Source organism: Homo sapiens, chromosome 12 (assembly GCF_000001405.40).
Source record: "Homo sapiens chromosome 12, GRCh38.p14 Primary Assembly".
In the NCBI taxonomy this organism is placed as follows: Eukaryota; Metazoa; Chordata; class Mammalia; order Primates; family Hominidae; genus Homo; species Homo sapiens.
Window position 1 is genome coordinate 12,535,070 of NC_000012.12, and position 13,758 is coordinate 12,548,827.

At 39.0% G+C, this 13,758-nt stretch overlaps 1 protein-coding gene across 6 annotated transcripts in view, besides 2 other annotated features; it reads right to left on the bottom strand.

Moving 5' to 3' along the window:
* DUSP16 (dual specificity phosphatase 16) overlaps window positions 1-13,758 on the bottom strand; it is an 89,582-nt gene that overhangs the window by 61,788 nt on the left and 14,036 nt on the right. The gene's annotated exons all lie outside the window — the stretch shown is intronic.
* Window positions 128-629: an enhancer, noted in NCBI's record as "H3K27ac hESC enhancer chr12:12688131-12688632 (GRCh37/hg19 assembly coordinates)". NCBI's record gives its function as "activates a minimal SCP1, AML or CMV promoter by ChIP-STARR-seq in naive H9 embryonic stem cells {active_cell/tissue: H9 hESC(naive)}" and the evidence as "EXISTENCE:reporter gene assay evidence [ECO:0000049][PMID:30033119]".
* Window positions 5,912-5,961: a silencer, noted in NCBI's record as "silent region_4254". NCBI's record gives its function as "represses an Ori minimal core promoter by ATAC-STARR-seq in GM12878 lymphoblastoid cells {active_cell/tissue: GM12878}" and the evidence as "EXISTENCE:reporter gene assay evidence [ECO:0000049][PMID:35858748]".

Sequence of the window (13,758 nt, forward strand, 5' to 3'; positions counted from 1 at the left end):
AAAAGCAGAAATAACCTCTGCACATGCAGAAAAAGCTGGCTTCATCAAGAGTCTGCCTGGCACATTAGGACGGACACCTGTGCCAGTGCTCAGCCGCTCAGCCCTGCCCATCCTCCTCCACCAGCCTCGGTGAGCTGTTAGTTCTCCTTACCTCAGCTCCCAGTAACGCTGTTGTCTGATTCTTTAGAAGGGTTTCCCAAACAATCTTAATAGCAAAACAAATAGTAATGGGCTATATCCCATAGAAGAAGATAAATATCAATGAGTCTAAGGGGAAAAAAATTTTTTTTTACAAAACATCTGCTTCTACAAATCAAAGTTTGAGAGAATGGTGTTTCTATTTGCTATTCTTTTTTATTTTTTCTTTTTTAAGAGGTTATTCTGTCATTTTTACACAGTACTATACTTGGCCCTCTATAATTCTGGGTGTAATGTCAGTTGGGTTCAGGCACATTACCTGCAGCAGCAACAAACACCTTCCTATCAAAGTCTCAATTTCCCACTCTAAAATACCAATATGTCAGTGTTGAAGTTAAATTAGGTTTCTAACCCAATGCAGGGAAAAAGAGAATTGATGGCAAGTCCTTGATATTAATTAGTTGAGTAAATGTTGAAAATGACATTTTGAACAAATATGAAAAGATAACATGCCGGTCAGATGTCCAGCAAGCCAAAGAGAAAGGCTTCCTGAAAAATGTAAATTTCAAAGAGAGTTTTGAAAGAAAATAGGGACATGAACCAGCAGAGAGAAGAGAGGAAGATGATTCCAGATGCAGAAAACGCATGAGCAAAGACAGAGGGATAACAAACTGTATGCAGGCTTTCCTGGCTACAGATTATGTCAACAAGTAACAAAATAAGTTGGTAGAGTAAAAGGGGCTAGATGGTAAAGAATCCTGAAGTCTAAAGCCATCTAGGCCACTGTACGCTTTATGAAAATAACATAAGAACACTACTAAGAGAATTTCACTCTGGTAACTCTATTCAGAATGGACTGAGGTGAGAATAGATTTAAGGAGACTGACTGACTAGTCTCCTTACAGTACCATACAGTTTTAGTTGCCTATGGATGCGCTCAGTCTAGAATGGTAACTATAAAACCTGAGAGCCAAGAGACTGTTAATAGTCTAAATCCAAGGCAATGTGCCTGGCACAAGATATACCCTTATTATATGTCATGGGCACTGAAAGTACCCATGAAAATGGCTATCTAGACTACATGATTGAATTATTGCACCAGAATAATATCTGAAAATATCTCAATGTCTTATTCTGTCCCAGCTTCACATAAGCTAATGTAAAGCAAAATGAGCACTATGTACAGGCTCAAGTTTTACTAATTAGGTCATTGTTTATAAACCAGAATAATTAGACATAATAAAAGGCTGAAATAGGCCGGGCACAGTGGCTCATGCATGTAATCCCAGCACTTTGGGAGGCCGAGGCTGATGGATCACCTGAAGTTAGGAGTTCAAGACCAGCCTGGCCAACATGGTGAGACCCTGTCTCTACTAAAAATACAAAAATTAGCCGGACATGGTGGCACATGCCTGTAATCTTAGCTACTCAGGAAGCTGAGGCAAGAGAATTACTTAAACCTGGGAGGCAGAGGTCGCAGTGAGCCAAGATCGCTGCCATTGCAATCCAGCCTGGGCAACAAGAACGAAACTCCATCTCAAAAAAAAAACGCCGATGCGGTGGCTCACACCTGTAATCCCAACACTTTGGGAGGCCGAGGTGGGCGGATCGCCTGAGGTCGGGAGTTCGAGACCAGCCTGACAAACATGGAGAAACCCCCATCTCTACTAAAAACACAAAAATTAGCCAGGCATGGTGGCGCATTCCTGTAAGCCCAGCTACTCGGGAGGCTGAGGCAGGAGAATTGCTTGAACCCAGGAAGTGGAGGTTGCGGTGGGCCAAGATCACGCCACTGCACTCTATCTAGCCTGGGCAACAAGAGCAAAACTCCATCTCAAAAAAACAGGCTGAAATAAAAGGCTGAAAAATAGGTAGACTCTGAAGGTTGACATTTCTTCAAGGATGACTTTCTTCAATATATTTTTCTGTAATTTCTAAGTTTCCTATTTTATAGATAACTTTCATAACAGAAAACTATATATATTTTTAATAAGACGTAACTCATGTCATGTCATGAAAAAAAGATGTGGAAGTCAAAGTGAAACCTAAATGAATTTTAATACACTATCATGACATTCATCCAACAGTGACTATAGTGTGAGCAAATTTTTAAAAAGTTTTTAAATGTAATTACATAGCCCTATGACAGCAATGCTACAAGGTAAAAGACATTCATATGTATTCTACACAAAGCAATATAACTATATATGATTCAGTACCAGGCAATGTTCCTTTGCCAAATGTAACCTTCAGTATCAAAGAACACATATTCAAAATTAAAATTATAAGCAAAATCATTACAAATACAGTAAGCTTGCTATTGATGAAACTTAATATAAACCAGACCATAGAACTGTCTATTAAGAAACTCAATGGCTAAATGCCAAAATATCTAATTTCACCATCTCATCTAAAACATAGTCCACGGCATAGACCCTAAAAATATGCTCACAAAGCTCCACAGTCTAATTCTCTACTGGACAGATTATGAAATACATTCAAAAGAAACCTATCACCATTTGCTATCAACATATTTAAGTGTCACATAAGCATCACTAAGTATCAGAGACTGAAAGCCCCTCTAAGTAGAACACGATAATAAATGTTCAGTTTTTTCTCTTGCAAATAGTGTTCATTCTTCTAATTCTGGGGTGTGGATCTTAGCTAATCTATAAAACTCCAGGAAAAAAATTAAATGAGTTAGTAGAATATATATATATATGTTCATTTATCGAGCACCAACTAGATTCAATTTCCTATAGCACAATTTCCCACTTTTGCCTGATCACAAGAATCACTTAGAAACTTGATAAAAATGCCCAACCAGGCCCACCTCTGGAGATTGATTCGTGGGTCTAGAGTGGAACCTGTGAATTTGCATATTTAACAAATGTCCCAGGAGGTTCAGAGAATCAGGCAGGTTTGAAAACATGCATCCCCGTGCGCCACCACGCCTGGCTAAAGACATCTATCCTAAAGACATCTTTGGTCTTTCTCTCAATGTTCACATTTAATCAGTTGTCAAGACCTACTGATTTTCAGTCTCTCTTACCTGGAGGACATAGAGGCATAAAAGCTGGATTTGAGTTGAAAATAATGGTAAGAGGAGAAATGGGAAGTCAGTCATGTCACGTCATTAAAGAAAGTCAGAGACTACTGAAATTTCATAGCCAAAGAAGGACTTCCACTTAGTCTAGTGCATGTCTTCTGGCAAGTTAATAATGTCCCTTTTACAAAATGTTACATATTTATTCAAAGTCACACTATTCATCAGTGGTAAAAGACAGAAAATAGCTTCTAGGGAGTGTGCTTTCCACAACCCTAGAGAGCTTACCAAACATTCTGCAAATTTTAATAGGCTCCTGAAAAACACAGAACGCAAAATATTTCAAAAGATGAGAAATAATGCACCCTTTTAAACACTTAATGGGTGTGGCTGTGGAGAGTTGCCCTCACCAAAATGCCAGCCTGCCATGAAGTTACAGATGAAATGCCAGGCATGAAATAGAGAACCAAATGGTGAGGCAACAGCCTCGGCAGGACTCTAGTGAAGGGGGAGGAACCCTCGAAGCAAATGCTTGTCAACTTCCTGGGTCACCATGAAAATACAGTAAGACAGTTAAAGTATGTAATAAAATATAAAGCATGTAATAAATGCTCAGGTAATCCTCCCACCTATTGTAAATTCTAACATTTGCTAAAAAGGGAACAACTCAGTACATGATTAAATGGAGGAGCATTTTGGCTAACAGAGTAGCTCTGAACCTTAGTTACACATTAAAATCATCTGGGAGCTCTTAAATATCCAGATGTACCTCAGAATGATAAATCAGAATCTCTGAGGAATGGGCCCAGGCATCAGTATTTTTCACACGAACAAGCAGAGGTGGATCCTTTACCTTCTCCTAAAAAACTGTCACAAGGGACAGGTCACTTGGAAGGCAGTTTAAGAGAGAGCAGAGGAGAAATCTGGTGACACATGTAACACTGTGATTAATCTATTGCTTACGATGTTTTATATGTTGAAAGTCTGGAATTCTGAATATTTTATTATGTAAGAGATCCAGTTCTCCAATGTCACAGCCTCTATAATTTGAATAATAATAAAGGAGCACAACAATTCACTTATGATACCCAACAGAAGACTGCAAGGATATGCTGGGGCACAGAGCCCAATTAGGGTTTAATAAGACAGGGTTTATGGGTGAAGCAATCTAGTTTCCAATCTTTCTTCTTAAAAATCTACAAATGTTTAGGTGTAGATGTGTCAAGGAAAGATTGTTAAAGCTTGGGAGAGATAGAGTTCAGTGTTCACCGGCTTATGAATGCACGTTAAATAAATATCTCCACCCAGGAATTTCCCATTACTAACGGCTAATCACCATCACAAGGGCATACAGCCCTTTAGAATTCCTCTCTAATCCAATCCTGTAAAACTTCACTTAGGATGATGATGGAAACCAAGATTCGGGCCTCCAGCCAATCTATATTACATTAAATAAAGGACGTCACCACCCTTCTCAAGGTTGGGCCAGCAGTTATTTAAAAAAAAAAAAAAAAAGGCTGGGCACAGTGGTTCACACCTGCAATCCCAGCACTTTGGGAGGCCGAGGCAGGTGGACCATTTGAGGTCAGGAGTTCAAGACCAGCCTGACCAACATGGTGAAACCCCGTCTCTACTAAAAAATACGAAAAAATTAGCCGGGCGTGGTAGCATAGTCCCAGCTACTCGGGAGGCTGGGGAGGCTGAAGCAGGAGAATCACTTGAACTTGGGATGTGGAGGTTGCAGTGAGCCAAGATCGCACCACTGCACCCTGGCCTGGGCGACAGACTGAGACTCTGTCTCATAAAAAGAAAAAAGAAAATGAGACCAGGAGTTTGAGACTAGCCTAGGCAACATACTGAGACCCCGACTCTACTTTAAAAAAAAAAAAAACTAAAAAAAAACATCAGCCAGGTGTGCTGACAGGGGCCCGTAGTCCCAGCTACTAGTGAGGCTAAGCCTGGGAGATGGAGGTTGCTGCAAGGCTACTGGGGAGCTTGAGCCCGGGAGATAGAGGTTGCAGTGAGCTATGATTGCCACTGCACTCCAGCCTGGGCCACAGAGTGAGACCCTGTCTTAAAATATATAAAAATATAAATTAAAAAAATTTTTAAAGATGGTATTTAACCAGAGTCAGGAGTTTTCGTAACATATTAACATCCAATACAAGGAACACTAGGTTAGAAAATGCTCATTCAGCTATTTCCCTTGTACAGTGGGTCTAACTTGTGCTTCCTTCACTTACACAACAGTTTTTGAACATCTATACTGTGCAAGGCTTTTTGCTCAAGGAATCTTTGGAGGATACAATTTTAAAGCAATTTCATAAGATATCTATAAGGCTCCGTGAGATCACATAGCAAGAGTGGGAGAGAAAAATTTCAAGTGGTGACATCTAGAAGTCAACAGGAGGAGGTGAGGAGGTGGTCAATCCCACCTATGTATTTATTCTGGACGCTCTCCTACCCCAACTCCTTAGGGTGCTACACAATCTCTTTGTATTCACAAATAACCCCTGGTCAAGAGGTTTGGAGGGAGCGGCGACACCACCAGCCAGCAAACTTCTACTAATTCTGGAGGCAACTTCCTGTCAGCTGGTCCCTAAAGGCTGGTTGCTTCCTGCCAGGAGGCCACTTAGCACAGATTCATCTTTCTTCAGGAGGCAGACAGTTGCTTTTTTTTCTTTTCTTTTCTTTTCTTTTTTTTTTTTTTTTTTTTTTTTGAGCCAGGAGTCTCACTCTGATTGCCCAGGCTGGAGTGCAGTGGTGCTGATCATGGCTCACTGCAGCCTCAACCTCCCAGGCTCAGGTGATCCCCCCAGCTCAGCCTCCCGAGTAACTGGGACTACATGTGCACACCATCACGCCTGGCTAATTTCTCTATTTTTAGTAGAGCTGGAGTTTCACCATGTTGCCCAGACTGGTCTCAAACTCCTGGACTCAAGCAATTGACTCACCTCAGTCTCCCAAAGTCCTGGGATTATGGGCGTGAGCCACCGCACCTGGCCACTTGCTGATTCTCACTGTGGCACTGATTTTAGAGGGAAAGGCAGAGGGGAAGACAATTCATCTTCCCTTCAACCCCAGGTACACACAGTCCCCTGCCCCACACAAATACAAACATGAAGAATAAAAGAGGTACAGGCCTTGACAAGGTTACACTGACATTATTTCCACCCAACAGTATCTCCCACAAAGCGTTAAGGAGGGAAAATAAGAAACTCTTATTAAAATTAGTCTATCTTATTGGAAGGCCCAGTAAGGTAGGTAAATGGCATAAATTCTCAGGAGTTGGTCAATCTATGATAGTTGTAGTTGGAATGAGCTGTCTGTCTAGACCCATGGTCTTCAAGCTTTTCAGCTGACAGCCCACTTCAGAGTGACAAACTACCAGGTCTATGTCTTCCTAACAACTATTTCTCTGTCTACATGTGTTCCACCACAAACCCTAGAGAGAAATAACTGTGAAAAAAATTCTGTAAAGTGAGATATAACATCCAGATTAAAATGTAAATACAAGAGCACTGAAAATGTATGCACATGTAACAAACCTGCACATATACCCCAAATCTAAAATAATTTAAGAAAGGAAATGGACCCACAAAAACTTGTATAAAAATGTTCACAGCAGATTTATAAACAGCCAAAAAAATTAATCAACTGATGAATAGATAAACAAAATGCAGTATATCCCTACTATGGAATATTATTTAGCCATGAAAAGGAATTAATACTGATACCAGCTACAATATGGGAGAACCCCAAAAACGTTATGCTAAGGGAAAGAAACTAGATACCAAAGACCACATATTATATGAATCCATTTATATGAAATACCCAGAAAGGCTGGGTGCCGTGGCTCACACCTGTAATCCCAGCACTTTCAGAGGCCGAGGTGGGCGGATCACCTCAGGTTGGGAGTTAGGTACTAGCCTGACCATGGAGAAATCCCGTCTCTACTACAAATACAAAATTACCCGGGCGTGGTGGCACATGCCTGTAATCCCAGCTACTCAGGAGGCTGAGGCAGGAGAATCCCTTGAACCTGGGAGGTGGAGGTTGTGGTGAGCCGAGATCACGCCATTGCACTCCAGCCTGGGCAACAAGAGCGAAACTTCATCTCAAAAAAAGAAAAGAGAAAAAAAAAAAAAAAAAAAAAGAAATACCCAGAAAGGGCAAATGCATAGGGACAGGAAGTAAATCAGCAGTTGCCAGGGGCTGGGAGGAGTGGGAAATGGTGTATGACCTAATGTGCAGAGTTTGTTTTGGGGGTGATGAAAATGTCCTAGAATTAGATAGTAGTGATTACTACACAACTGTGAATATACCAAAAACCACTGCATTGCACACCTTCAAAGACGAATTTTACGACTGAAATTATATCTCAACTTTTTTTAAATGGTAAATTTGGTGGTATATTAATTGTATCTCAATAAACTGTCATTTTTAAAAAGGGCAGGCAGGCCAAGGCATGACTCCAGATGTAAAGAAACTAAAGACACAAGTAAATGTAGAACACGATCCTCAATTGGACCCTGTATGCAAGACCAAATATTTGTGTCCCCACTAAATTCTTAAATTAAAACCCTAAGTCCATTGTGATAGTATCTGAAACTGGGGCCTTTAGAGGGTAATTAGGTCATGAGGTGGAGCCCTCATGAATGGGATTCATGCTATATAAAAAGGACCCCCAGAGAGCTCTCTTTCTTGGGTATACGATGAGAAATTGGTACTCTGCAACCCAGAAGAGGGCCCTCACCAGAACCAGATCATGCTGGCACTCTGATCTCAGACTTTTAGCCTTCAGAACTATAAGAAGTCAATTTGTTATTTATAAGCTACCCAGTCTAAGGTTGTTATAGCAACCCAAGCAAACTAAGACTGTACTAGACAGTACAATGCTATGAAGAATGTCGTTGTGTCAACTTACAGGACTGAAATACACGTGTGGGCTAGTTAGAAGTATTAAATCAATGTCAGGTTTACTGGGGTTGACAACTGTACTGTGGGTAGGAAACTGTCCTTGTTCTTCGGAGACCTGCTGATGTGCTTGAGGATAGTGGGCCATGTGTACAACTTATGGTTCAGAAAAATGTATCATATATAAATATGAAGAGAGAGCAAGTAATAAAGCAAAGGGGGCAAACTGGTAATAGTAGATGCTGTTCTTTTATTTTTTTCTGTAAATTTAAAATTATTTTCAAACAAAAAGATAAAAAAGTAAATAGAATACACATAATCTGAGATCTAGAAATTCTACTTCCAATAATTTGTCTTATATAAATACCTGCCCAAGTATATTATGTGAAATACTTTTCCCTGTAACATGTTTATAACTGTAAAAAGAAACAACTTCAAAGTTAATGAGTGATAAATTGGCTAAATATATTATTATATCAATGTAGTATACCATATGGACATGTAAAAAGAAAGATGTCTATCTGATATAGAATGACTTCCAGAAATATATTCTTTTGTGAAGAGAAAAAAAGAATTGGTTTATCCCTAGAAACAAAACCAATAAAAAACTCAAGAAGCCTAGGAATGTTTGGATTTGGTTAAGAAAGAAGCTAAGCCTGTTCTATTTATTTATGAGGCCAGTTATTTGTATTTGTAATACAAATAATTTTCTCCCTTACAGCATTGATAATACAAGCTTTACTAATGAAAAAGGAAACTAATACAATCTTGTATGCCACTTACTCCTGTGGTTAACTCAAAGCATTTAAAAATAAATTTCGTAAAAACTCAAGTATAACATATATGCCAATAAGCATACACAAATCATGAATGTACAGCTCAAAGAATTTTTATAAGGTTAACACACTCATGTAATCACCATCCTGATCAAGAAATAGAAACCCACCTGTACTCCAGAAGTTGGCTTCATATGTCTTCCTACTACTAATCTCTCTCCCCAAAGGTAACCACGAACCTGACTTCTTATACCATGGCTGAGTTTTGCCTGTTTTTGAGCTCTTTTGTGTCTGAACTGTTTTGTACAAAATTATGTTCATATCTATGTTGTTGTAAGTAGCAAGAGTTTTTTCATGTTCACTTCTACCTAGTATCTCATTGAATATACAACAATGTATTTATCTATTCTTCCACTGATGGACATGTGGGTTGTTTCCAGCTTGGAGTTATTATGAATTGTGCTGCTATGAACATTCTTGTACATGTCTTTTGGTGAGCATAAGTACACATTTCTGTTGGGTATACACCTAGGAGTGGGTTTGCTAGGTTAAACGCATAAGTATGTAACACTTTAGTATAATAGATACAACCAGTTTTCCACAGTTATTCCAATTTACAATTCCAGAATCCATACATGAGGGTTCTAGTTGCTCTACACCCATGCTGATACTGGTATTTTCAAGTTTTTGTTTGTTTCTCAATTTTAGCTACTCTGATCAGTGTGTAGTGGTAATTCACTGTGGTTTCATTCAGCATTTTTTGATGACGAATATGGCTGAACACTGCTAGAAGCTTTAGTTTTTTTTAACCTTTCGCATTGAGATCTACAATTAGCCTATAATTTATTTTTGTAAGTGATGGCAAGCAAGGACCAAAATTAGTTTTCTTTTTCTTTTCATACAGATAGGCAATTGACGTAGGATCATTTATCGAAAGATCTTTCTTTCCACATTGCTGTAAAGTGCCATTTTAATCATAAATTAGTATCTACATATATGGGTCTGATTCAGGGCTCTATTCTGTTCCATTATCCATTCATTTATTCCACACTGTATATTCAATAGTGTGAATCCTACAACTTTGTTCTTCCTTAATATTACCTTGACTATTCTTGCCATTTGCACTGCCATATGAATTTTAGAATCAACTTATATAAACTTCTGTAAAAGTTTCAGGTATCTTTCTTAGATTTATTACCAGCATTTGATATTTTTTGATGCTATTATAAACAGCATCTAAACATTTCATTTTCTGATTACTGTTATATAGAAATATAGGTTTTGTATAATAACCTCACATCCAGTAATCTTACTAAATTTATGTTTACTTTGAGATGGATTCTCGCTCTGTCACCCAGGCTGGAGTGCAGTGGCATGATCTCAGCTCACTGAAAACCTCTGCCTCCCAGGTTCAAGCGATTCTCAGCTTGATGCCTCAGCCTCCTGAGTAGCTGGGGCTACAGGTGTGCACCACCAAGCCCAGCTAATTTGTGTACTTTTTTTTTTTTTTTTTTCCGTAAAGACAAGGTTTCACCATGTTTACCAGGCTAGTCTCAAACTCCTGACCTCAGGTGATCCGCCCGCCTCAGCCTCCCAAAGTGCTGGGATTACAGGCATGAGCCAACACGCCTGGCCACTACATTTATTTTTAAAGCATTATTTTTTAACTTACATAAAGTAAAATTAATGCTTTTTGGTGTACAGTTCTATGAGTTTTGACCAAATGTACACTGTAATGTAACCATCACCACAATCAAGATGCAGAACGTTTCCATCGCTCCAAAAAATTCAAAAACAAATCCTGGTCAAATCTTAAGTTACCCTAATAACAGATAAGAGAGTACATGGATAAATAAAGTCTAACGATATCCTATAAACTACAATCTAGCCAAAACTATATGACAGCTTCAGTCTCATTTCCTGGCAAATCTTTCCCCACCAAATTCAAAGCCGGTAAGAGAAATGGTAACCAAATCACAGTTCTAGAGCCATAATGTACCAATCTAATATTTAATATGTGGATTCTGAATATCTGAATGGAAAAGAACTTGTTATAAATGATATTGATGTAATAACAGTAACATCATGTACTTTTAGAAACCCAAATGAAATTACACTATAAAAATAAGTTATATTTCCCATGCAAAATAAATGGATAATGAAAACATCTGAGAGTTATTTATACAATATTATAAATTTATGAAATGCTATCATTTGGGGGGGAAATTCTGCACCCTCTGGATAATGATTATGTTAATGAATTCTGGTCTACTAATGATCACCCATGGTTTAGTTTTATCTTTTTTACTTTACCTGTGTTTCGTGGTTGTGTTTTTTCACAATTAAATGTCCAGCCTATGCTCAGAGGGATGGATGGTGATAAGTAGCCCCAAAGGGCCTAGATAATATTTTGCAATGAAACTGTCAGTGCTACCAAATATATTTCAATCCTTGAGTTACTGTATAACCAAAGTTAAGAATGAATGAACAAGGGTGGCTCTGACCATTATGGCAACTTTCCACAATGTAGTTCTTTGAAGCTGCCTCAGTCCTTCCATTACCTCCGCTATTTACACACCCAGGTGTTTTTAGTATTTTGTAAGAAGGGACTGGTAATGGTCAATCAAGACCTGGCAATAGGCCAGAAAGCAATATAGATGTCACAGATGGTCAAGCACAAAGACAACACTAGATAGACATGCTGTGTTCTAGTGTAAGCACTACCAACATCTCATGCATTCTGAGTCACCCTACATATTGCTTACCCATTCCTATTTGGTTTACTGGATTTTGCTTGTTTACTTTATTCCTCCTATAGTATTGTCAGCATGAGAACATTTTAAGTCATGGCACCATATGGCAATAATATATAACTCCATAACTAAAATAAGCTCCCTAAAGACTGGCTATCTGTCAGATACTATCTATAAGACACAAAAAATTAAAAACATCAAGTGCTTGAAACCTAAAAATAATTTTATCTTAGCAGTACCCTTAAGCCTCAACCACAATCACATTATTTCTTACCTTTAATTAACATCATGATATCATTGTCCATATGAGAGCCATGGACAACAAATAAATCAGTTTAGAAATACTTCTTTATACCTGGCATGAAAATATAGCTGTTCTTAACAGAAATAAAAATTCACTGAATTTGGACTGGTGTTTTGTTTGCTCTATGTATTTAAAACAATAACAGGCCAGTGCAGTGGCTCATGCCTGTAATCCCAGCACCTTAGGAGGCCGAGGCAGGTGGATCACCTGAGGTCAGGAGTTTGAGACCAGCCTGGCCAACATGGCAAAACCCCGTCTCTACCAAAAATACAAAAATTAGCCGGGCGTGGTGGTGCCCACCTGTAATCCCAGCTACTTGGGAGGCTGAGGCAGGAGAATCGCTTGAACCCGGGTGGAGGTTGCAGTGAGCCGAGATAGCGCCACTGCACTCTAGCCTGGGCGACAGAGCGAGACTTGGTCTCAAAACAAACAAAACAAACAAACAAAAAAAAGCAAAAAAAAAAAAAAGAAAATACATTGTCCAATGAACTTTTCACCTTCTACTTCCTTATGACTGTGAGTAGGCTTAAAAAAAAAAAAAAAAAAAAAAAAAAGCAAAACATACTACTGTGTATCTCCAGGGTAAGTACAAGCTCTACTACTCCAGGCCATATCCACCATAGGACTTGTGTACAGCAGCATTAAAAAAACAAATATTTAAGCCCAGGATTCTGAGGTGATACCATGCTATAAGCAGGAAAATAAGTAAGATCAAAAGTTAGAAAATCAAAGATCCAACAAAGCTTTGGTGGAGTGCTACCTTCTAGCTATTGGCTGGCAACAAAGATTTCTCAGTGTAGAAGTTAGATAATACTGAGATTCCAAGGAAATCTTAGACACAAGAGGTTAGCTGGTAAAAGGCAATGCTTGCAAAATTTACAATTTTAGAGCTGGAAAAACCTTAGATATCACCTAGTCCATCCCTCTGGTTTACATATAATGAGGAGAGGGAAGAAGAAGAGAATCAACCCGAGCCCTCCAAATCCTCTTTGGAGTATGAAACCCTGACTAAGCAGTACCAGTAATAGCAGAAGAAGCAGAGATGACAGTTACTGTACTCCACTCACTCCATTTTTGTATCCCTGAACTATATCACATCTAATCTGTGAGTTCTAAGTAGCTGATTCACATTAAAGAAAAAGGCATCCTACAACTCAACAACAAAAAACTCAAATAATCCAATTTTTAAATGGGCAAAGGACTGGAATAAACATTTCTCCCAAGATGATATATAAATGGCCAACTATTTGAAAAGATGCTGAACATCACCAATCACCAGAGAAATGTGAATCAAAACCACAATGAGGTATCACGTCACACCCATTAGGACAGCTAAAAACAACAAGTGTTGGCTGGGCACAGTGGCTCATGCCTGTAATCCCAGCACTTTGGGAGGCCGAGGCAGGCGGCCTGAGGTCAGGAGTTTGAGACAAGCCTGGCCAACACGGTGAAACCCCATCTCTACTAAATATACAAAAATTAGCTGGGCCTGGTGGCACGTGCCTGTAATCCCAGCTACTCGGGAAGCTGAGGAAAGAGAATCACTTGAACCCAGGAGGCAGAGGTTGCAGTGAGCCGAGATCGCACCACTGCACTCCAACCTGGTGACAGAGTGAGACTCTGTCTCAAAAAAAAAAAAAAAAAGAAAAAGAAAAAGAAAAAGAAAAAAAAGAAATATTTTGCAATAGATCTCTTCCTTTTTCTTGCTGTGTTCCTCCCAACCTTTAATAATCTAAAGGTGTCAAGAACTGCTCCAGGATACTATCTTCCTTCTCCCAAACCATCCTACAGAAGCGGCCAGCTAACATACTGCTCTTAGAGTAA